Genomic DNA, 24,264 nt, shown 5'->3' with positions numbered 1-24,264 from the left:
ACGATATTTGAATGTGGTTTATCTCTATTTCTCTCTCAAAATATCTTATTGTCAGTAATATTTTTAGACCGCGACTGACCATGAGTAACTGAAATGGAGGATAAGAGAGGACTACATGCACATTACAATATAATATTCATCATTGGGGCAAAGCTATTTTTACACATTTATACAGCACAGTGCAACATTCTTCTAGTAAGGAAGCGGCATATGCACAGAATGACATAGTTTCACGCACACAAAAATAGTGACACTCTCTCTCACACACACACACGCACACCAGCAGCCTGAGCAAAGCTTACATTTTGTAAAACCAGACACTCTCCCAAGCTCTGACCCTGGTCTCTCAGGACACACTTCATTCAGGAAGTGCAATTTCACTACCAGCCAACATGCAAATTCTTCTAATCCTGTTTTTGAAATATCTAATATGACTAGAAGTTTATAAGAAAAGATTTTTCTAAGTCGCTCGCACTAATGGACCTTTCCAAATGATAATTGTTCTGTTTCTGACATGTGTCCTTGAACTAAGTTCATTTTGTTCTTGTTTTTAATCCCAGTAATTTATCGGCAGACAGTAATTAGCTCAAAAAGGCACACTCTGGCAAGCACACAACTCACAACTGAATCATCCTTTCTACGGAAAACATGTCCCTCATGTCCCACTCTGCTCTGGAAGGCAGATTTCCCTCAACATTTCCAAAATGAGCTCACTCCTGGCCCAAGTTAAGAATCAATCTCTCTGTGTGTGTGTGTGTGTGTGTGTGTGTGTGTGTGTGTGTGTGTGTGTGTCTGTCTATCCTTTCCTGGATACCTGGATAGGGCTGAGGACCCGAGCGCTTGTGACTACATGGTTAGGCTATCAAGAAAGAACTTGGGTTCTTTCAAGTTCCGTAAGCAGAGTGATCATGTAATCTACCAACCAAACCAGGACACCATGCAGAGTAAACAGGGCCCATTGATATAGTCTTAGGACAACTGGCATATATCCCACTGTCCTAGGCAGAATAAGAGGTATAGACACCCGACAAAGCAGCACTTCCTCACCATCCTGTTCCAGTTCCTACCATCCACTCTCCATGGATGCCTCTCCTCTCTTTACTCTCATGCCCCATCCTGGTCAAATGCCACCTCCTCCATGGAGACTTCCTATCCCTGCTTAGCCCAGGTCCGGTGAATTCTCCATCATCAACTTACCTAATGCTTTGCCTCTTGTAGTAGTGACTTTGGTGTTGATTTTGCTGATTTCGATCCGCCTTGTATTGGTACTGAGAGAACTCAACCCAAACCAGCTAAAACAAAAAGAAAATAAATGTGAATGTTAATTGGCTCACTGACTGAAAAGTTTTGTGTATTGGTTTTAAGTGCCGCTTGATCAAGAGATTCAAATAAATATTGAAATCTCCCTTTCTCCCTCTTTTCCTCCTTCTCATGAAATCTTGGCTCTGTGTTCCTATGTTCTGGCTTCAATTTCAAAACCTCTATTTTGGAAAATCAAGGCTGAGTTGCTATTGGGACCCCATCCCCTGAGTAGCTTCAGTCCCATCCCCTTTAGATGAGACGCCCTTCTCTGCCTGACTGCAGTCTTCCTCTTGAGGAACCTGGGGGTTATCAACTGCAGAGACAGAGGGAATGATACTGGGTGGGCAAAGAGAGCAGATATCAGCCACCCCACCATAACTTCTGCTGGAAATATATTCCCCTGGGGCTAAAAAATTGTATCAGAAAGGCCAGCAAATATGCACCCCTGGCCTGAGTCTCAAGTCCTCTCTGTGACAACTGTGCTCCTTCTTTGGGGACATTTCTCCACCTGGCTGAAGAAAATCATTGTCATTAGGCAGCTCCCTTATTAAAAATCAGCAGATGGCAATGGAATAAACTGTTCTTATTAACACTAATATTCTTCCCCGGCTCAGTCCCTGGTAATTTTCTTTGCCAGGAAAGAAGGAAGGCAGGAGGCATTCCCAAATCAAGCCTGTGGTGCCTAAGGAGATTAATCTCATGGAATGGTCAGCATTTGTAGCAGAGATGTCCTCATGTCATTACACCATTTGGGTTGTCCATGGGCAGTCAGCATGATTCCTAAGGCTTCCAGAGCCAGTGCAATTCCCATGCCTGTGTGTGTGTGTGTGTGTGTGTGTGTGTGTGTGTGTACTTCTTTTTCTTTGTAACTTCATTTTCTTTATGACTTTGTTCTCTCTGACCACATCTAAGATTCCTTCATATGAAATAGCTAAAAAGGTGGAAGGTAATGTTTGAATTGTTTATTATAGAGTGGGGAAGGGAGCTGAGGGTGGTGGCTTGTGTAAGTCCCAGAGTCTAAAGAGCCAAGAACTAGGAGCTCCAATGTCCAAAGGCAGGAGAAGATGGATGTTTCAGCTCAAGAAGAGAGAGAGGGAGAATTCGCCCGCCATCATTTTGCTCTATTCAAGCCCTCAAGGGATCTTTACTCAGTCTACTGATTCCAATGTCAATCTCTTCCAAAAACACCCCCAGAACTAATGTTCCACCCACAATCTGGGCATCCCTTAGCCCAGTCAAGAAAATAAACATTTTCTCTCTTGTATATTTAAGTTTCTCAAAATCTATCCACTTGGCAGGCTGTGTTTAGGACTCAAATATTAGTTTATATTCAGCCTCTGGCCCAGAGCAGAGCATCTTTCTCCAGGACAGGTTGGCCTACTGCTGTTCCCCTTCTCACCTGGAGGGACAGCCTGTGAGCCTGAGCCCAAGGTGTCTCTTTCTAGAGGACACAACGTTATCCAATGTGTCCCTGAGGCAGACTGCAGCTAAGGAGACACAGAGTTCTGTATCTAGCACCAAACTGGACTTGGAGTCTCTGTTCACAGACTCTCAGCCCCTCCCTCCCTCTCTCCCTGTCTGGGTTGGGCTTGTGGAGGAAGAGTGAGCTTCCTACAAGGACCACACTGTTGTTCTTCCCATCAATGCTGGGTTCTTGCAGGATCACAGGTCTCTTTGTGTATATCCTTCCTCCTGTTTGGAATAACATTTTCCATTTTCCTTCTCTTCCCAGATACCCTTTTCTCATCCTTTGAGTTCAACAGATGTCTCTTCTGGTTGCAAGTGACAGAAGCCCACACAGAAAAGGCTCAGACCAAAGAGAAATTTATGGGCTCCTGAAACCGTATGTCAGAGAGAGATTGGGCCAGGGCTGGGATGTGACCCCGGCTCTTTCTTGGTTTCTCCTCGCCGCTTCTCTCTCTCCTGCAGCCTCACAGTCTCAGACAGGATTCTTTCAAGAATTGCAAACTTGGCTGAAGACCTTCCTGTCCCCTTTCTTACCTCCCATGTACAGGATGGGGGTGATGATCCCACTTCTCTGACTCTCACCCAGAAGTTAGGAACTCCTTAAGGTAAGAAGTCTTTTCTGATTCAATTTGGTACAAACTGTGTCAAGCAGAAAGCATGGTAGTTGTGATTACTGAACACCTGCTGGCTAAGTAAATGGAGAATGTCAAAATGGTAATTTGATCAGAAAAAAATTAGTCAAATGTGAAAAATAAACTAAAATGTACTTTTTGTTTCTGTTAGATGGTGACAATGGGTTGATTAAACCCACAGGTGTTTTTTTTTTAAATTAATCTCAAACTCCCATTTGTGTCATGTTTTGTCATTTATAAGGAGCTTTCACATAAGCCCATGTAATTCTCACGCCACTTGCCTGAGCAGGTGGGTCATTTCGTGTGTTTCTGGGTTTGGTGACGGACTCCCAAAGGCTGGAGCCCACCAGACCTGGATGTCTCATGGGGGTGTCTCGTGGAAGTTTCTAACCCCTGGGGTCCTTAATCTCCTTATCTATGATATGGGGGAAAGACCAGCAGTAACAGATTCCATCCCACCCCCAAGCACATTGTAAGGATGGACGAGATGCTGTAACGAATTGCCACCACCAGCGACTTAAAACAGCGCTGATTTATTCTCTCGCACTTTCATAGGTCGGAATTCCAGCATAGGCCTCACTGGGCTAAAATCAAGGCATCTGAATGGTGGTGCTTCTCTCCGGAGGCTCCAGGAGAAGATGCTTCCTTGCTTATTTGGGTTGCTGGGAGAATTCAGCTTCTTTCATTGTAAAACTGAGGTCCTCTTTTCCCCGCTGGCTGTCGGCTAAGGACCTTTTTTTTTTTTTGAGACGGAGTCTCGCTCTGTCGCCCAGGCTGGAGTGCAGTGGCGCGATCTCGGCTCACTGCAAGCTCCGCCTCCCGGGTTCACGTCATTCTCCTGCCTCAGTCTCCCAAGTAGCTGGGACTACAGGCACCCGCCACCACGCCCGCCTAATTTTTTGAATTTTTTTTTTTTATTATACTTTAAGTTTTAGGGTACATGTGCACATTGTGCAGGTTAGTTACATATGTATACATGTGCCATGCTGGTGCGCTGCACCCACTAACTCGTCATCTAGCATTAGGTATATCTCCCAATGCTATCCCTCCCCCCTCCCCCCACCCCACAACAGTCCCCAGAGTGTGATATTCCCCTTCCTGTGTCCATGTGATCTCATTGTTCAATTCCCACCTATGAGTGAGAATATGCGGTGTTTGGTTTTTTGTTCTTGCGATAGTTTACTGAGAATGATGGTTTCCAATTTCATCCATGTCCCTACAAAGGACATGAACTCATCATTTTTTATGGCTGCATAGTATTCCATGGTGTATATGTGCCACATTTTCTTAATCCAGTCTATCATTGTTGGACATTTGGGTTGGTTCCAAGTCTTTGCTATTGTGAATAATGCCGCAATAAACATACGTGTGCATGTGTCTTTATAGCAGCATGATTTATAGTCATTTGGGTATATACCCAGTAATGGGATGGCTGGGTCAAATGGTATTTCTAGTTCTAGATCCCTGAGGAATCGCCACACTGACCTTTGACAAACCTGAGAAAAACAAGCAATGGGGAAAGGATTCCCTATTTAATAAATGGTGCTGGGAAAACTGGCTAGCCATATGTAGAAAGCTGAAACTGGATCCCTTCCTTACACCTTATACAAAAATCAATTCAAGATGGATTAAAGATTTAAACGTTAGACCTAAAACCATAAAAACCCTAGAAGAAAACCTAGGCATTACCATTCAGGACATAGGCGTGGGCAAGGACTTCATGTCCAAAACACCAAAAGCAATGGCAACAAAAGCCAAAATTGACAAATGGGATTTAATTAAACTAAAGAGCTTCTGCACAGCAAAAGAAACTACCATCAGAGTGAACAGGCAACCTACAAAATGGGAGAAAATTTTCGCAACCTACTCATCTGACAAAGGGCTAATATCCAGAATCTACAATGAATTTTTTAGTAGAGACGGTCTAGATCTCCTGACCTCGTGATCCGCCCGCCTTGGCCTCCCAAAGTGCCGGGGATTACAGGCGTGAGCCACCGCGCCTGGTCGGCTGAGGGCCATTTGCGGCTTCTGGAGGCGGTCAACACTCCTCGGCTCATGGCTCTTTCCTCTATCTTCAAATCCAGCAATGCCAAGTCAAGTCCTTCTCACCCTCCAAATTGCTCCTGCCTCCTCTGCTGCGTCTCTAGGACTCTCCTGATTCACTCTCCTCTTCTGATCTGCCTCTCCTGGATCATCCAAGATAATCTCTTTATTTTCAGGTCAGTTCAATGCCTTGTGACATATCCTCAGGCATAAAGGCAGCGGGGAGAAGGTCACAGGAGCCCAAATCCCACCTATCACAGGGACTTAGGCTTTCCACCTGTGAATCTCAGCACTGTGCTTCTAGAGACTCGGTTTGTCACGGCTGAGAAAATACGGTGATTGCAAGAGCAGATTCGGATGCCAAACTTGGCCAGGGTTAATCCCATCTCCAACACCTCCTAGTTGTGTGATCTGGGGAAAGTCACTTACTGCCAAATACCTCAGTTTCCCCATCTGAAATATGGATATGATAATTATGTTTCTCCCTCATAGGCCCCTTGTGAAGATGAAATATAGCTGTCAGTTATAATCATTACCACCATATTTGCACAAATATTTGCATTTATTCATTTACTGGTGTCCTTTCTATCTACTATTGAAAAGCTATCTCTAGAACAGTTTACAATCATCCCAAGGACAAGGCAGGGATGATGATAATGACCTTTCACTTTGAGTAGAAAGCATTTTATCTACATTACCTAAAAGTACCCTCACAAAAAAAAAAAAAAAAAAAAAAAAAAAAAAAAAAAGACCCTGTGAAGTGGATACTCCCATTTAACAGATGAGAAAACCGAGGTGAGGAGAGGTAAGGGGCTTGTTGCATATCTTTGGATAACCTAGACCAGTAGGGGTGGGGTTAGTCTGCCCTGATGAGGAAGAGGGACATGGGAACCCTATGAGGCATCAGTACAAGCTGTATTTTTTATAGATAAAATAATTTCTATTCAAAGTAAAAGGTAGTTATCATCATCCCTGCCTTGTACTTGAGATGATTGTAAACTCTGGTCTAGAGATAAATATCTAGTAATAGGTAGAAAAGACACCAGTGAAATAAATAAGTACAAATGTTTGTGTAAATATGGGATAATAATTACAGCTGACACATATTTTTCATCTTCACAAAAGGCCTATGAGGGAGATACAAGCCCTGCAGCCACACTGATATATAGAGCTGCAGTTTCATATGGAAATGAGTTTATAGCTCAGGTTTTAGGGAATAAAAGGTTGAGAAACTTTGGACCAGACCAGTGATTTCCAACTCTGACGGCACATCAGAATCAAGAGGACTGGAAAAACAGACCAAGGTCCAGCTGCTACCCCAGTGAGATTCTTAAATAATCTGGCACGACATCGACTGACAATATTTTTTTAAAGCTCCCCAATAAGATTCTAAGACCCTCACATCTTTATAAAAAGGAAGGATGGATTTTTTGACTCTCTCTCTCTCTTTGAGATAGGATCTCATTTTGTTGCCCAGGCTGGAGTGTAGTGGTGCCATCTCACTGTAACCTCGACCTCCTGGGATTGATCAATCCTCCCACCTACCACACCTGGCTAATTAATATCTTGACTCTCTTGTGACTCTGCTGGGTATCTTTTCCTCCAAGTTGTTTTTGTTTTGTTGTATTTTTTTTTCTTCCCACCTTTGTCTTTCCTGTTAGAGGTTTTCCTCCAGAGTTTGGGGGCCCTTTGCTGACTGTTCATATTTAAAGGAGAGAAACCGGCCGGGCACGGTGGCTCACGCCTGTAATCCCACCACTTTGGGAGGCCAAGGCAAGTGGATCATGAGGTCAGGAGATCAAGACCATCCTGGCTAACACGGTGAAACCCCGTCTCCACTAAAAATATGAAAAAAAAAAAAAATTAGCCAGGCATGGTGGCAGGTGCCTGTAGTCCCAGCTATTTGGGAGGCTGAGGCATGAGAATGGCGTGAATCCAGGAGGTGGACGTTGCAGTGAGCCAAGATTGTGCCACCGCACTCCAGCCTGGGCGACAGAGCAAGACTCCATTTCAAAAAAAAAAAAAAAGTGACAAACCGAAAAGCCTCCCTGAAACTCTGGGTCCAATAGCAGGGCCTGACAAGTGGGGGATGTTTCTGGAGGGTGATGTGGCTGGGTTGGCTCATCTCAGGGTCACTGTCAGTATTCACAACTTCCTCTTTGCCATTTCCACCCAGGCTCCTCTGTCTCCAGCCTGGAGGGAGGGCGCAGAGGGAGCTGGTGAGCCTGGCTGCCTGCCTTCTGCAGCTGACCTCCAGAAGTGACCAGGGCAGCATCCAGGTTGGTAGGGGGATGGTATCCAAAGGGTCTAGAGACTCAGGGAATCTGTCACACTCATGCCCCCAACTCAATTCAGTTGATCATGGTGCCCTCAACACCTGAGACTTTTCGATTCTCTGCACAATGAACTTAATTTAGTTTTGGTTGCCCCTGGTGCCGGGTTAACCTGTCTTTGGTTGGCTGAGTCAGTAACTACTTAATCCATTTTGCAACTCTCAAACTCCATCACTGCCATTGTCTCTCCCTTTGCTTTGTTCTTGTGCGTTTATGTCATCTCCCACTTTTAAAATAAAATGACTTTCCTATATTTTAATGGTATTTCTGAAGAAAGTGAAGTAAAGCAATGGAAATAAGTATGTTTACCTAGAACCTACGTGAACTTTTTATTTGAACACACAGATTAGAGAGATGGAGGGTAAATTATGTTGACAATTCAGTGCTGCCCCTGAAGACACAGGTCTCTCTCTCTGCTACAATGGAAAGCCACTGCCCTCAGGAGGTAGTAGTGAGGTGGGACTGGGCAGCTACTGGGTGGGTGATGTTAAGCAAGTGACTTGGCCTCTCTGGATCACAATTTCTCCATCTGGAAAATGAGGATGGTCACAGTGTTTTCTCGTGCCTGGGGTCATTGTGAGGATTAAATGAGTTAATAAATGGAAACACCTATAACAATATCAGGCACCTAATAATGCTGTGTTTGCTATTTTAGTGTTACTACTTTTTGGTTTCAGGTAGAGGAAAGGTTCTTATTCATATAGACTGAAATGCACTAGCTCGGTTTGTTACCAGCTGCAAAACAGTTTCATCAAGTCACGAAAGACAAAGCTCGGTTCCATATGATTCTAACTGCTCCTTCTTCTTTTCTCATCCGTTTATTCCTGACCCCCAAGATATGAGTTAGGGAAGCACAATCTCTTTTTTATTTTATGACCTTGTTTTCCTTGGTCGGTGTCACACCATTAAACCAAATGCCCATCCCGGCCTTTAGAAATTCAGCATAGCTGGGACTTTAATATCTCTGCAGATGTATGAGGGCAACAGCAGTCAAGAATGCAGCTTAAAGTAAAATCCCCTTTTCATGAGCCCATGAAGACAAATGACAGGAGTCAACTGCCACCAGTCAAAAGGGCCATTAGCATTTTCTTTACTTTAGAGACATTTCAGGCACTTCTTTAACTGCACTCCAGCCAGCTCGCTGGATATTTTGTATGTGACATCCTTCCAAATCTTGCTCAGCTGTCTGAAACCAGGCCAGGGAGTGACCACAGAAAAAGTACTATTGGATTAAACAGACAATGACTGGATTGGATTAAATGGTTCATTTGACATTTAAGAGTCCCTCTGATGCCACTCTTCAGGTTGTACTCCTGCTGAAATGTTGTCATGAACTTAATCTGGCCCCTGACTTTTGCTAAAAGTCAACTTACTTAAGAGTCAAATTTAAATTCGGAAGTATTTCCAGCACAAATTTTTGACTTCTATTGAAAAATCAGAAACTCTGATCCTACTGGCCCCACCTGCCCCCATGGAAGGAAGGAAGCAGCTGGAGCTGAGGATCCAGTGCCTTTTCAGATGGGGCTGTCCACCCACCGTCCTCACCACTCGCTGTTCTCTAAATACATTATATGACTGGTCTCTGAGGTCCTTTGGATGTGTGACCCCTTCTCACATTTACTCATCAAAAACATTAATCACTTGCTATGTTACAAGAACTGTACTAAGCCCTGGAAATGCAGAGAGAGACAGAACATCATCCTTTTCCTCAAAGAACTCAGAGTCAATCACAGGAAAAGTGTAGAAAAGAGCCAGATCTAATCAAGTGATATGTGGGTCATAGCTCCAAGCTACGAGGAGCTGGAGAAGAGGCTTATTGCAATTGCATTGGTCAGAGGGAAATTCGCAGGGCACGTGGTGCCTGTAATAGGCAGAAATAATCCAAGCAAAGAAGCAAGAACCTTTCATCCAGGCATAAGGAGAAGAGTGAACTAAAAGAACATCGTAACATTGTGAAACTGCAAGCATTTCCTAACCCTCTAATGACTCTAACCTTGGGAGCACTTAATGGCTCAAGTGTAATTTGAAGTCTTTTAATACTTTTCTGTAAACCCCAGGTTATTTAATGCTATCTCGTTCACTTAACTCTCTATTTTACAGCACTGGGCCCAGCTGACTACAGTTCCACAGGAAAAGGGGCTGTCTTAGTCACTTTTCATCCACATAGCTGCTAAGTTCATGAGGGGACCCAGCTACGGGCTTTAACTGCTGGTATGGCTGCCTATCTGAGTGTGTGAGCTCTGACTCCAGACTATAATGCTCTCATTGTCAGAGTGGAGGATTATCTACTCTAGATGCCACAGTACTGAGTACAATGTCAGGGAAAAAGGAAAAAAAACAGGTGTACTTTACTTTCTTTTTAATGAATCTGCTAGGGTTTGCATGTGGCCCCCAAAGTTTATGTGTTGGAAAGTTAATCCCCAATGCAATAGTATTGACAGGAGGCATCTTTAATAGGTTACGATGAGTGGATTAATGTCATGAGTGAATTAATGTCCTAGCTCAGGAGTGGGTTTCTCTTAAAGTAAGTTTGTCCCTCTCTTGCACTCTCTCACTCTGCCCTCACTTGCCCTCAGCCTTCTGCCATGGGATGATGCAGTAAGAAGGCCCTCACCAGATGCCACTGCCATGCTCTTGTGTTTTCCAGCCCCCAGAACCATAGGCCAATGAATTTCTATGATTTATAAATGAGCTATCTCAGGTGTTCTGTTATAGCATCACAAACAGACTGAGAAAAAAATGAATAAATAAAGAGATGTCGAAATCATTCCTCAAAATGAAAGAAAATGAGATTTTAAAAGCTGTTTCTCTAATCCAGAAGTTGGCAGACATCTTCTGTAAAGAGTTATATAGTAAATATTGTAGGTCTCTGTTGCACCTAAACATAACATCATGCTCAATAGTTCTGTTATAAGGTTATTAGATTCTCTTATAATGTGAAAGTAGCCACAGACAATATGCAAATAAATGAAGTTGGCTTAGTTCTAATAAAACTTTATGTATAGACACTGACATTTCCATTTTAAGTTATTTGCATACGTTACAAAATAATATCTTGTTTCAATTTAATTTAAACATTTAATAATATAAAAGTAATTCTTAATTCATAGCTCTTACAAAACTAGGTGGTGTGTTAGATTTGGACTTCAGAATGCCATTTCCTGAGCCCTGCTAAGTCAATTTAAGCAGATTCTCAGCTCCTGGAGCTCAGCTGTGGAAAGGTAATCACCTGTTGAGTGTAGACCTGTCTTTCATTAACGGAAACTAATATATATGGAAAAACCCATCTGTTTTAACTTAATCTAATGTGGTTGTTAAAGGCTCCTCTCCCTTTATTATCTAATGTGAAGTACAGGCAATAAAATTCCACACTGACTCCATTGGGAAGCCAAACAATTAAACAACTAGGCAATTAATGGTGTAATTAAAAACTTTTCCATTATATTATTTAGTACCCATCAAGAAAGGTTGGCCTTCCATGATTCAAACGCCCTTACTAAATGTCATTACTTGGAGCCAAAGGCCTCTATTCACACAGACGCACAGATAGGACGGGGCAAGGAGTGTGGAGTCAAAGACACCTGGCTCACCCTCACTGGACTAGGGGCCTGATGAGCATGTGACAGCTCCAAGAAGCCATAACACAATGTGAGGCTGTAGTGGATCCTTTCATTTTCATCATCTCTGAAGACTACTCTGAAACTTCCCCCCAAACTGTCCCTAAAAAACAGCTCACAGACTACGTGCCGCCATGACCCCAATCACTGTTACTTCTGAATACTCCTTCTTCCTCAGCATAACATTATCGCCCTGAGAATAGGGACATGCCTGTTACCAGAGCAACCAACCAGGTGTGATGCTTCACGTGTGGTCTCAGCCCAGCCTCTCTGCTCTGTTTACCTAACTGCATCTGGGCTGGGCCCTGCTTCTCACTCCTGTGGTCAGATGATCACTTTCCTTTTTTACTTCTATCTGTATAAGTTTAACTCAGTGGCCTTTGTGTAGGCTGGCTTAAAAATGATGTCATTCACTGTCTATTTCTTCACTCCCATCTAGTCTCCTAAATTTCTTCCTTCCAGCTTACCCTGTCTTCTTATCTTACACTCTGTCGAAAGATCTCTTCATCAACGCCCACCCACCACTCAACTCCAGACCCTGGAATTATCTCACCATGACCTCTATCTTTTCCACTCAGAGAAAGCCACGTTCTCTGTCAGTCTCTCATCAAGGTGTACAAAGCTGATCAAACTACCTAAGTCAAGGTATAAATGACTGATATGTCTCTGTATTCCCAAAAGATATTTGTTCTTTTCAGCAAAGTCACCTGAGTGACCAAATTTGAGGATATTCCAAGAAAGCATTGAAAAGGAGGCTGCAGGGTAGGGTGTTTCCGGGGCCCTTGATTGAGGAGGCCTGGGTTGCACCATCTGATGCTCCCATTTGTACATTAATTCATTGAACCAAACATCAAACCAAGCACCGGGTATATGAGCTCAAAAAGTGGACAGTGCAGAAAAAGAAGCACTGCGATCTGAGAATGCTGGCCTTGGTCCAACAGATACAAATCTTAGAGTAAAATATGTTCCCACTGTGAGCTCCAGGGTCCTCATACATTAAATAGGGATAATAACACCTCCTGCCCAGTAAGCAAGACTTCAGGCACATGGATTGTCCTGGAAGGAGACACAGGCACCCCTCCACTGATTTTCTTTAAATGTTTGCTCAAAGTTAATACAAAGACTAATTTGGCTAAGAAGGGCAAGAAGTGGAACATCCATTTATCCATCAATGCTATGAGCAATTGTGCTCTGGCCCCTAAGAATACATCCCACCTAGAAAAAGCAAAATCTGTGAAGTTTACTGAACCCTTCCTAGTTAGGAGAGAATTTTGTATTTCTAATTAGAATCAGGTTTTCACTCTATCAGGTACAATAGTACATTTATCATAACTAAGAAACTAAACTTGGGTATGTTGCTATTCAATAAAACCCACACTTTATTTGTATTTCACCAGCTTTTTTTTTTTTTTTTTTTTTTTTAGACAGTCTCACTCTGTCACCCAGGCTGGAGTGCAGTGGCTTGGTCTTGGCTCACTGCAAACTCCACCTCCAGGTTCAAGCGATTCTCCCACCTCTGCCTCCTGAGTAGTTAGGACTACTGGTGCGTGCCACCACACCCAGCTAATTTTTGTATGTATTTCACCAGCTTTTTTACTGCCGATCTCATTTCAGGATCCAAACCCAAATATCACATTGAATTTAATCATCATGACTCCTTCATCTATGCCCACTCATGGCTGCTTCTCAGACTTGTTTTTTTGGCCATTACCTTAAGAGAGGTTTGAGGAGGATTGGCCAGTATTACTAATATTTTATCGAATATTCTCAGTTTGGGTTTGTCTGATTTTTTTTCTCATGATTAGACTGAGGTTATGTGTTTTTGGAAGAAGACCACAGACATAAAGTGCCATTCTCACCACATCCTATGAAGGCCACATATTGTCAATATGACTTGTCATTGTTGATGTTAATCTTGATCACCTGCTCAGGGTAGTGTTCACCGTATTTCTTCATTCTAACATTATTCTTTTTACACTTTTCCAGCTCTATTTTTTGAAAGCAAATCATTAAATCCAACTCTCATCCGGGGGAGGGATGGTGAGAATTAAACTCCACCTCCCAGAGAAAGGAGAGAGAGTGGCTACATAAATTTTTTGTAATTCTTGCTTAAAGGAGATTTATCTGTTCTTCCCATTTATCTGTTCCGTCATTTATTTATATCAGTAGGGACTCATGGATCTTTTTACTTTATGTTTGGTTACTCCAGTTGTTTCCACTTTAGTCCTTGAGAGCTTTTTCGGGTTGTCCCCTGTGTCTTTGACATGCCCCATCCTTTTGTTGTTATGAGCCCTCTTTTACATTTGGCCCTATGGATTTTCTTGTATCTTCCAATTATATTTAAGTGGATTTTTGACATTGAAACCTTTGTCATACTGGTGCTAAAACACTTCTTTAAACATCGATATTGAAAATTTATGGAGTTTGAAATTTTATAGCTTTGTTTTTCTATCAATACAGTGAGGTGAAACGTGATTATGGAAGAAAAGAAAGCCAGGATGATATTGTCCCTCTCCTGCCTGAGGCTTCTGCAAAGCCGACTCTTCATTCACTGGGCCTCCTTCCCCACCTGGTTGATTCTGACTCGGGCTCCAAACCCATCCCACCAGGCATGGGGGCTGCTGTCTCGGGGATGCCTCCCCTGCATACACACTCACAATCGGCAAAGCCTCTTTCTCCTTAGGCCCAGAGCCCGTGGGAATAAGCCATTCTCATCCTCACCTGATTATGTGATTGAGTCCTGGGACCAGTGGGGCCAGTGACCAACCTCACAGCATATGACTGTCCACCCACCAGTCTCTGCTGCCTTCTGAGAGCCACAGCAACCCTGGGGGAAAGGCAAACTCATCACCCTGGGGCCCAGAGACCTTTGCCTTGTCTGTTTTGGATGGGCAGCTGGTCATCCTCTCAAGCATAGTGCGGTATCAGAAAGAAAAGTGAAGTGATAAAGAATTTATTTCCCAGGTAAAATCACCAGGCTTCTGGCTACATGTCAATATATTTCAAAATCCAAACTAACTCATTGGAAGGGTGGGGGAAAAGAGAGGTTGAGAGAGGTTTGGCATATTTTGGAATATTCCTTTGGAATTTTGGAACATATTTTATTTCTGAATAAAGCAAACTGTAGTCTTCCAAAAACACATATCATGTTCAATTTGGGTAGTATCCTTGCAAGTAGATGCTTTTATGCCTATATAAAATGTATCCTTGATGTGTTACCATGAAACATACATGACACAAGTACATATTACAGACAAATTCTTGGTGAAAAATTTCAATATTCCTCCTATTCTTCTCTACCAAAGAAGGCTCTTTTAATAATTTTAGTCTTTAATTTTCCAGTATTATCTTCCAGAATATCATAATGATAGCATTTATCGACGTTAGGTAATGCCTGTGGGATTCCCACAGGACAGGTGAGGTTTTATTCTATAATTATTCACATGGCCCCTCTCCTTCAGGGAGTGAGAGGATTGCTTTTAGTTGTCCTTGGTATCACCTTCCTAATTCCACAGAAGGTGCTAATGTCTCCATTACTTGTTCTTTTGCCTTTCAGCAACACACTGATGTGCCACTCTAGTAAGTGAAGATGCTTGAGCTTTCCGTATCTTATCACTCTTCCTTTTGTTCCCATCTGGCCTCCTCCTACTTTCTGTCAGCCACATTTTTAGTTATAATATAGCATTAAGGTTATTAAAACTTATACTCCATCCAGCAAATATACCCAAGACTTAAGCACATTCTCCCAAGTTGACCCGTCTACCAGAGGCCCATTAAACAACATTTGCATAAATAGAATTTTTTGTCTGTAGGTCTGTGAGGATGAGGCAAAACAGAGGATGCAAAATGTTGAGTCCAGGCCTTCCCTGGTACAAACTAACTCCCCAGCCAATGACATTTATCCAGTATTAGTTTCAAGCTCTGAGCTATTTCTGGATACATTGACTGAACAAAATGTATATAACTGTCTTGCCATTACCAGTCTTAAGCAGTATTTCATTTAGCTGTCACGTTAAAGGTTATTTTCTTAACCTTCCATGTTCCATAAGCCGTGTGTTAATTTGATGTATGCATAGTGTGACGAAGAAAATGTTATTCTTTGAATAGCTGCTCCTAGCATTTTTCTTTTTTTTGTAGTAGGTATGAGTTTCCATCCATGAACTCAGCTCTGGAAGAATGGAAACTTCTATGTTTATATATGACTATATGACTCAGGTTGTCTTTTGAGTTTTATTGCCCAGAATGCTTGAGAAAATACCAGTAAATGCTGATAAAATTTTCTCACACTTAATTTTTGGATTGAGTTGTATCTCAGATACAGGACATTAATATAGTGCAGAAGGGTGTGTGTGTGTGTGTGTGTGTGTGTGTGTGTGTGTGTGTGTCTGGTCATCTCATCATGGTAGAATTCCCAAGTCAACTACCCTTGTCTGATTATCTGGTTAGTGTGATTAGCGTGATTGTTTTTCCTTCTGCTTATCATAAAGTCCAGTGGTTCTCCTTTCTAAGTCTCTACTTTCTTGATGCATGAGAATTATTTATACTCAGGAAGCTCCAGGCGATGGTAGGACCACTTCGATATCTGGGCACCTCTGCTGCTGCTATACCATGTTCAGTGTGGAAGACACCATGATGCTGGCTCAGGCACATTTTTCAAGACATACTACATGGGGATTTATTTAACCGCAATTATGATAAGATTATCTTTGCATATGTGGTGCTTTGAAGGTTATGTCACTAGAGAAAACTGATCTATGGACAATTTGTTATAGCAAAAGCACAAAAATATGTCCATTTGGGAAGATTTCTGCTAAAAATAACAGTATGTTCAACTACTAATATCTAAAATACTGAAGACATTTAATCACCCATAACACAACATCTTGGGACACAGGCAGTGCTGGGTTTGTTCAGCAGCTCTGAGAGCTTATGGCATCCACATGTTTATGATTTTCTTGGCTTTTTTTCTGCTGACTGCAAATGGCTCCACAGCCCCAAGCATCATGTTCTCAGACGCCAGCATCTCAAGCAGAGAAGATAGAGTGGGCAGAAAAGGGACCTCATCCACAGTGTCATCTCTTCTCAGGGGGCTAACCTCCCCCAAATTCTCCCATATAGCTCATTGGCCATAGACTCAATGCAACCAAGTACAGCAGAAAAGAATAGGATTCATCACCCAAAGGGGCAGGCAAATCATGATTCATCTTTGCAGCTTTGGGAGGAAAGTATCTTCCATGGATATTTATCTGGCAACACAGTACTTGAACAAAATCAGAGTACTGTTTTCATGAATGAAGTAACCATGCAGTACATGTACTCTCAATTATTATTTCTTTACAATATTTCATATATGGTCATGAACCATATATGGTCAATTCCAGAATTGCCCTCTTTGGACTTCCGCCTACACCAAATTGTTCAAAACTCATGGGAGTTAATATAGTCTAAATGGAATTGATATTCCTTGAAATGCCAAAGAAAAGAAATGGCCTCTGCCAGTCCACTGCTGTCATTACTCCATACTGCCAGATGGTGTCATTGTTGAAGAGTGGTTCTGTGCAGTTCTGCTGCTGTAATTCTCCACTGCTGAGAAAACTGTCCAGGACCAGTTGTTTGTGAAGGTAGAGTGCTTTGTACTTCATGTGCCTCTTTAGCCATTGTTTTGTGCTGGGGTAATCTCTGGCTCCCTACGTCAGCCAGCGACACACTACACAGAAACCAGCGACGTGAAACCAGTCTTTGTGTCCATGGGTTAAACAAGTCTGCCAGCCTAAATCTACTCCTTCCATAAGATCTCTTTATTTTGTGGAATTAATTGTCCTTTTCTCTCACTGGATCTTTATCTGTGTGGCCCTGTTCTCTCTAACTTCAAATCTTGGGATACAGGAAGTGGGTTATCCATTTTCCCTTCCAGGAGGACATGGGCTCATTTATCAAATTAACTTACCTTTTTTTCAGTATCAGTTTGGTATATCATAAGAGGATGGGTTATATCTTTTGCTAATCCAGTAGAATGCAGGTACCATCATTGTAGGACTCTTGTTCAACTTTTTCTATCCTCATCCATAGTGCATGGCAGATAATGGAAGCCCATCTCCTTAATTAATTAGTATAACCACCCAGTTCTTGAATATGACTCTTTTAAGACAATGGGCATTTATATAATAAAGGAGACAACTACAATAATTTTTCCCCCGAACAAAGATGATCCTAGTTGGTTGGCTGTCTCTCTGTGTAACAAAAGTAAACCTGGAATAATTAAAATATACCCCTCAACAGGATCTCCCTTTTGTCTTAAATACCCTGTCACACATTAAAATAGTCTCTGAAAAGATTATTTTACTATAGCATTATAAATAAATGCTACTTCCTAAAAGGGAAGTAGAATTTATCTTCTTCTCATTCTTTATCTCTTCACATTCTTAAACAGAATATTTGACACCTTGACCTGAGTATCTTTATTTGGCCTGACTCACTGTCAGATACCAAGGATACCCTTGGTAACAGAGATTAAGTGTGAGCCTTATACCTGCTAGTCCTTATCTTCCATTCATGGAACTGCTTTAGCTTTCCGAAGGTGTCTCTGTTGGTACTCCTCATCCATATGGCACATCGCCAACCAAGCATGGATATCGCTATCCACTTTCTCCATCTACACCTAAGCAGTAAGCCCTTCTGGGCAAAGCCCTACAACAGAGAGGTGACACCATGTGAAACGACTGGATCTTAAATCCTTTGCAGCAATCCATTTATAGTTTCCTGCTCTTCAACTTTCTCTAACTGCTACTTCAAATCATTTTGTTTTCTTCTGACAGCCTTGCCTTCTCACTTACTCTTGGTAGATGACTGTGATCCTCCTTTTGCACAGAGAAACCTGGTCTTCAAAAGTCAGGGCTTTTCCTTTTTTCTACCTGTTGAAATAAAAATGGCCTCTCCTTCCATCTATAGCCAGATCCTCAGATTAAGGATTTCCACCCCCCCATAGCCTCCCTTGCTGTTGACACGATAAATTCATTTTGACTTTGTCCTGCAGTCAGCTTCTCCTTCTCAATCAAACCCTTCTCATCTGAAATATCTCTTCCATTCTGAACAAACAACAGATAAAATTGTCTTGGGCTCCATGTCTCCTCTCCATCTACTGTACTCTGTTCCTCCCACTCACAGTTAAACATCTTAGTAGAATTTTCTCCTCTCCATCTACTGTACTCTGTTCCTCCCACTCACACTTAAACATCTTAGCAGAATTTTCTATACAATCTGCCTCCGTTTCCTGACCTTGTACTCTTTCCTCCCACCACTGTTATCTGGTTACTACACTCCTTCCTCACTCCTTCAGGCTTCTGCCCTTAGCTCTTGCTAAAATTGCCATGTTGTCAATTCCAAAATATATACTTTCATCAAATCAATATTTGCATTATATTTTAACAGCATTTAAAAATGTTTGCAACCATCTTTTTCCAATTTCTTGAAGCATTATCTGCCCAACAGACACATTTTAAGTTTCACTTTCCTGACGTTTCTTCTAATTCTTAGGTCATGACATATCCATCTCAATCACAGATTCACCCTCCTGTAGTTAGCCATTATATATTGGAATTTCTCTTCAATGCTACTTACAGAATGTCTCTACTTTGTATTTTATCCCTAGAAATGCTTACCCTCCATGTGGTCCATTTTTCCCATGTTATAACTGCTCAGAGTACCTCATTTCTTCCTTTTTTTAAACAGAAAACATATCTCTTTTTATATTTATTCACTCATTAGCATGATTATTTGATCAATAAATATTTGTTAAATAAGTAAATAATGGCCTATTTTACAACCAAGTAAAAGTCTACTCAAAAATTATTTTTTTTCTGGGGATAGGGTCAAGATGGCAGACTAGAAGCAGCTCACGTGCACCACTCTCACAGGGAGGAAACAAAAGGGCTAGTGAACACTAATCCTGCAGGTTGATCATCTCAGAAACCATGTTAGGATTCACCGAGGCAGCATAGGAACACAGCAGAGAAGAGTGAAGCTGGACACAAGCCTGTCTGGGCTCATCATGGAGCCAAGAGAACCTCTCCAACACAGGAAAGGGTGAGTAGGTGAGAGCCCCCAGGGGGATTCATGCTTTCCACAAGCACCTGTGCAAGACTAGGAATGGGATAGTCCCCCTGCTTCTGCTGCATCCCTCACTGCACTTCTATACTGAGTCGGAGAGCCAGTCAGGTGTTTTGCAGAGGCAACTCTTGAGTCCAAGGAGACTGCTACAAGTCTTGGGCCCTGGAGGAGCAAATCAGCACTGGCATCGTAGCCCCTATAGAGGTCAAAGTTGCCTTGCCTGGGAGCAATGAGATTGCTCCACCCACGCTTGCCAGACAGAGCTTGGCACCAGCTTCCAGCCCAGAGGTCCTGCTTCAGCCCAAACTTAGCCAGCTGTTGCACCAACCTCCACCACTGATAGCCAGGTGGGCAACATTTGCTAGAAATTCCAGCCCAGTGTTCACGCTTCTGTGTGAACTCAGCTGGAGGACACAGCTTACTGTTGTTCCAGGAAACACTCAGGTGGCAGAACACATGACCCCACTTGCTCCTGCCACTGGTAGCCAGGAGGGCAATGCCTGCTAGAGCTTCCAGGCCAGTGGCCCCACTTCTGTGTGAACTCAGCTGGAGGGTGCAGCTTCCTGTTGTCCCAGGAAACACCTAAACAGCAGAGTGTATGACTTCACCCACTCCCACTACTGGTACCCAGGTAGACAGCACCTGCCTTCTGGCCCAGTGGTCCTGATTCTGTGGGAACTCAACTAGTGGGTGCAGCCTCCTGTTGTTCCAAGAAACACCTGGGCAGCAGACTGGGCATCCTTACCCACTGTTGCCACCAGTATCCAGGTGAGCCACACATGCTAGAGCTTCTAGTCTAGTAGTCCTACTTTTGCCTGAATTTGCTGAGGGTCATAGCCTCCTGTTGCTCTGGGAACCCCAGACTGCAGGGAAGGCAACTCCTCCAACCTCTGCCTCTCATAGTCAGATAGGCCACACCTGCTAGAGCTTCTAAACCAGTGGTCCTGCTTCTGCCTGAACTCTGAGGACAGGCACAACCCCATGCTTTCCTAGGAAGCACACAGACAGCAGATTAGGGTCAACCATGGCTCCTGTCTGAGAGGGGCCCATAGACTAGATCACCTAACCAAAGAAATGTGGGCATGGAGACATAATCAGAGAGTTCTCCTCCAAGACCCAGGAATTGAATCAAAGCCAGTCAATCAAACCCATCTTATACCATAATTTAACCCCCAAGGACATCAAAGAAGAAAAAAGCAAAACAATCCATCCAAAGCACAGCAACTTCAAAGACTGAAGGAATATTCGCCCACACAAATGAGAAAGAACCAGGCAAGAACTCTGTCAACTCAAAAAGCCAGAGTATCTTCTTATCTCCAAATGACTGTTCTAGTTCCCTTGCAATGATTCTTAACCAGGCCGAAATAGCTGAAATGTCAGAAATAGAGTTAAGAATGTAGATAGGAATGAGTATCATCCACATACAGGGGCTACTTGATACCCAACCTAAGAAATCTAAGGATTACAATAAAACAATACAGGAGCTACTAGATTAACTGGACATTATAAGAAAGAATCAAACTGATCTGCTAAAGCTGAAAAGCACACTAGAAAAATTTCATAATGCAATCATAAGTATTAATAGTAGAATCAACCAAGCCTAGGAAAGAATCTCAGAGCTTGAAGACTCGCTCTCCAAAGTCACTTAAAAGAAATAAAGAAAAAACAATAAAGAATAATTTTAAAAATGTGAGAAATATGGGATTATGTAAAGAGACCAAATCTACTACTCATTGGTGTCCCTGAAAGAGATGGAGAAAAGCAACTTGAAAACATATTTCAGGATATCATTCATAAAAATTTCACCAACCTCAATTCAGGAAATGTAGACAACCCCTACAAAATACTACACAAGAAAACCATCTGCAAGATGGTCATACTCATCAGATTCCCCAAGACCATCTGCAAGATGGTTATAGTCATTAGATTCCCCAAGACCATCTGCAAGATGGTCATAGTCATCAGATTCCCCAAGGTTGACATGAAAGAAAAAATATTAAAGGCAGCTACAAAGAAAGGGCAAGTCACAAAGGGAAGCCTATCAGACTAATAGCAGACCTGTCAGCAGAAACCCTAAAAGCTAGAAGAGATTGGGGGCCTATATTCAGCATTCTTAAAGAAAAGAATTTTCAACCAATAATTTCATATGCAGCCAAACTAAGCTTCATAAGTGAAGAAGAAATAAGATCCTTTTCAGACAAGCAAATGCTGAGGGAATTCATTACCTCCAGACCTGCCTTACAAGGGGTCCTGAAGGGAGCACTAAATGTGGAAAGGAAAGACCATTATCAACAAAGTACATAGGTACAACATACATTACCTACAAAGTATACTGAAGTACATAGACCAGTGACACTATAAAGCAGCCACACAAACAAGTCTACATAATAACCAGCTTAAAACATGATGACAAGATCAAATCTGCACATACCAATACTAACTTTGAATATAAACAGGCTAAATGCCCCAATTAAAAGGCACAGAGTGGCAATTTGGATAAAGAAGTAAAACCCAATGGTATGCTGTCTTCAAGAGACTCACTTCACATGCAATGACACCCATAGGCCCAAAGTAAAGAGATGGAGAATAATCTACCAAGTAATCACAAAACATAAAAAGGTAGGAGTTGCTATTCTAATTTCAGACAAAACAGACTTTAAACCAACAAAGATCAAAAAAGACAAAGAAGGGCATAATATAATGGTAAAGGGCGCAATTCAACAAGAGGACCTAACTATCCTAAGTATATACATACCCAATACAGAAGCACCCAGATTCAGAAAGCAAGTTCTTAGAGATCTACAAAGAGACTTAGATAACCACACAAGAGTAGTGGGAGACTTTAAGACCCAAATGACAGTATTAGATCACTAAGGCAGTAAACTAACAGATTTTTCGGACCTGAACTCAAGACTTGACCAAATGAACCTCGTAGACATCTACAGAACTCTCCACCTGCAAACAACATAATATATATTCTTCTCATCTGCACATGGCACATACTCTAAAATTGACCACAATTGGGCATAAAGCAATCCTCAGCAAATGCAAAAGAACTGAAATCATGTCAGCCATGGTCCAATAAAAATAGGAATCAATGGTAAGAAAATAACTCAAAACCATACAATCACATGGAAATCAACCTATTCCTGAATGAATTCTGGGCAAATAACAAAATTAAGGCAGAAATCAAGAAATTCTTTGAAACTAATGAGAACAAAGATACAACATAACAGAATCTCTGGGACACAGCCAAAGTAGTGTTAAGAGGGAAATTTCTAACACTAAACTTCCATATCAAAAAGTTAAAAATATCTCAGACTAACAACCTAACATCACAATTAGAGAAACAAAAGCAAACCAATGCCAAGGCTAGCGGAAGGCAAGAAATAACCAAAATCAGAGTTGAACTGAATGAAATGAAAGAAAAACAGAGAGAAGAGCCAAAGGAACACAATCAGAAATAACAAGAGGGACCTTACTACCAACCCCACAGAAATACAAAAATCTCTCAGACACTATTGTGAACACATCTGTGCACACAAGCTAGAAGAAATGGATGAATTTCTTCAACCAAGCCTAGGAAAGAATCTCAGAGGAAAGAATTTCTTCTAGGTCTAGAAGAAATGGATGAATCCCTAGACACAAACAATCTCTGAAGATGGCACAAAGAAGAAATTGAAAACCTTAACAGACCAATAATGAGTTTCAAAATTGAATCAGTAATAAACAGCCTACCAACCAGAAACAGCCCAAGACCAGATGGATTCACAACTGAATTCTTCAGATGTATAAGGAAGAGCTGGTACCATTCAGACTGAAACTATTCCAAAAAATTGAGGAGGAGGAACTCCTCCCTAACTTATTCTATGAAGCCAGCATTACCCTTGACATTAAAATCCAACAAAGATACACCAAAAAAACAAAAAAAGAAAAAGAAAACTTCAAGCCAATATCCCAGGCGAACATAAATGCAAAAATATTCAAGAAAATTCTGCAATCCTGATCCAGCAGCACATCAAAAAGCTAATCCACTACAATCAAGTAGGCTTTACCCCTGGTGTATTCATCTGTTCTCACACTGCTATGAAGAAATATCTGGGAATGGGTAATTTATTAATAAAAAAAAGAGGCTTAATTGACTCACAGTTCTGCATGGCTGGGGAGGCCTCAGGAAACTTGCAATCATGACGGAAGGTATCTCTTCACAGGGTGGCAGGAGAGAGAATGAGTGCCAGCAAGAGAAATGCCAGACACTTATAAAACCATCAGATCTCATGATAATTCACTCACTATCATGAGAACAGCATGGGAGAAACTGCCCCCATGATTCAATTACCTCCACCGGGTCCCACCCTTGACACTTAGGGAATATTACAATTTGAGGTGAGATTTGGATGGGGACACAGAGCCAAATCATATCACCTGGGATGCAAGGTTGGTTCAATATAAGCAAATCAATAAATGTGATTCACCACATAAACAGAACTGAAAACAGAAACCACATGAACATCTCAGTAGATGCAGAAAAGTCTTTTGATGAAATCCAACATCCTTTACGTTAAAAACCCTCAACAAACTAGACACTGAATGGACATACCTCAAAATATTAAAAGCCATCTATGACAAAGTCACAGCCAACATCATACTGAATGGGCAAAAGCTGGAAGCATTCCCCTTGATAACTGGAACAAGACAAGGATGCCCTCTCTTACCATTCCTATTTAACATAGTACTGAAAGTCCTAGCTAGACCAACCAGTCA

At 42.0% G+C, this 24,264-nt stretch overlaps 2 long non-coding RNA genes across 11 annotated transcripts in view; one reads left to right on the top strand and one right to left on the bottom strand.

Annotated features, from left to right (window-relative positions):
• Nucleotides 1–24,264, bottom strand: part of LINC02359 (long intergenic non-protein coding RNA 2359) — an 82,665-nt gene that overhangs the window by 20,320 nt on the left and 38,081 nt on the right. For all 4 annotated transcript variants that reach the window (NR_186740.1, NR_186741.1, NR_186738.1 and 1 more), the window contains one exon: nt 1,198–1,292. This is a non-coding gene — a long non-coding RNA (long intergenic non-protein coding RNA 2359). The remainder of the gene's footprint in view (nt 1–1,197; nt 1,293–24,264) is intronic.
• Nucleotides 1–24,264, top strand: part of LOC107984447 (uncharacterized) — a 55,612-nt gene that overhangs the window by 9,741 nt on the left and 21,607 nt on the right. For 2 of the 7 annotated variants that reach the window (XR_001749374.2, XR_001749373.2), the window contains exon 2: nt 3,035–3,374. This is a non-coding gene — a long non-coding RNA (uncharacterized LOC107984447). Of the gene's footprint in view, nt 1–3,034; nt 3,375–3,956; nt 4,167–5,485; nt 5,596–7,620; nt 7,949–9,877; nt 10,486–24,264 lie in introns of those variants that run through there. The other 5 variants (XR_001749378.2, XR_001749377.2, XR_001749376.2 and 2 more) reach the window with 5 other exon arrangements.

The sequence above is a fragment of the Homo sapiens genome, chromosome 12, assembly GCF_000001405.40.
Source record: "Homo sapiens chromosome 12, GRCh38.p14 Primary Assembly".
NCBI classification, from domain to species: domain Eukaryota; kingdom Metazoa; phylum Chordata; class Mammalia; order Primates; family Hominidae; genus Homo; species Homo sapiens.
Note: the sequence above shows the minus strand (reverse complement) of the source record. Positions and strands in the feature narration are given on the sequence as shown.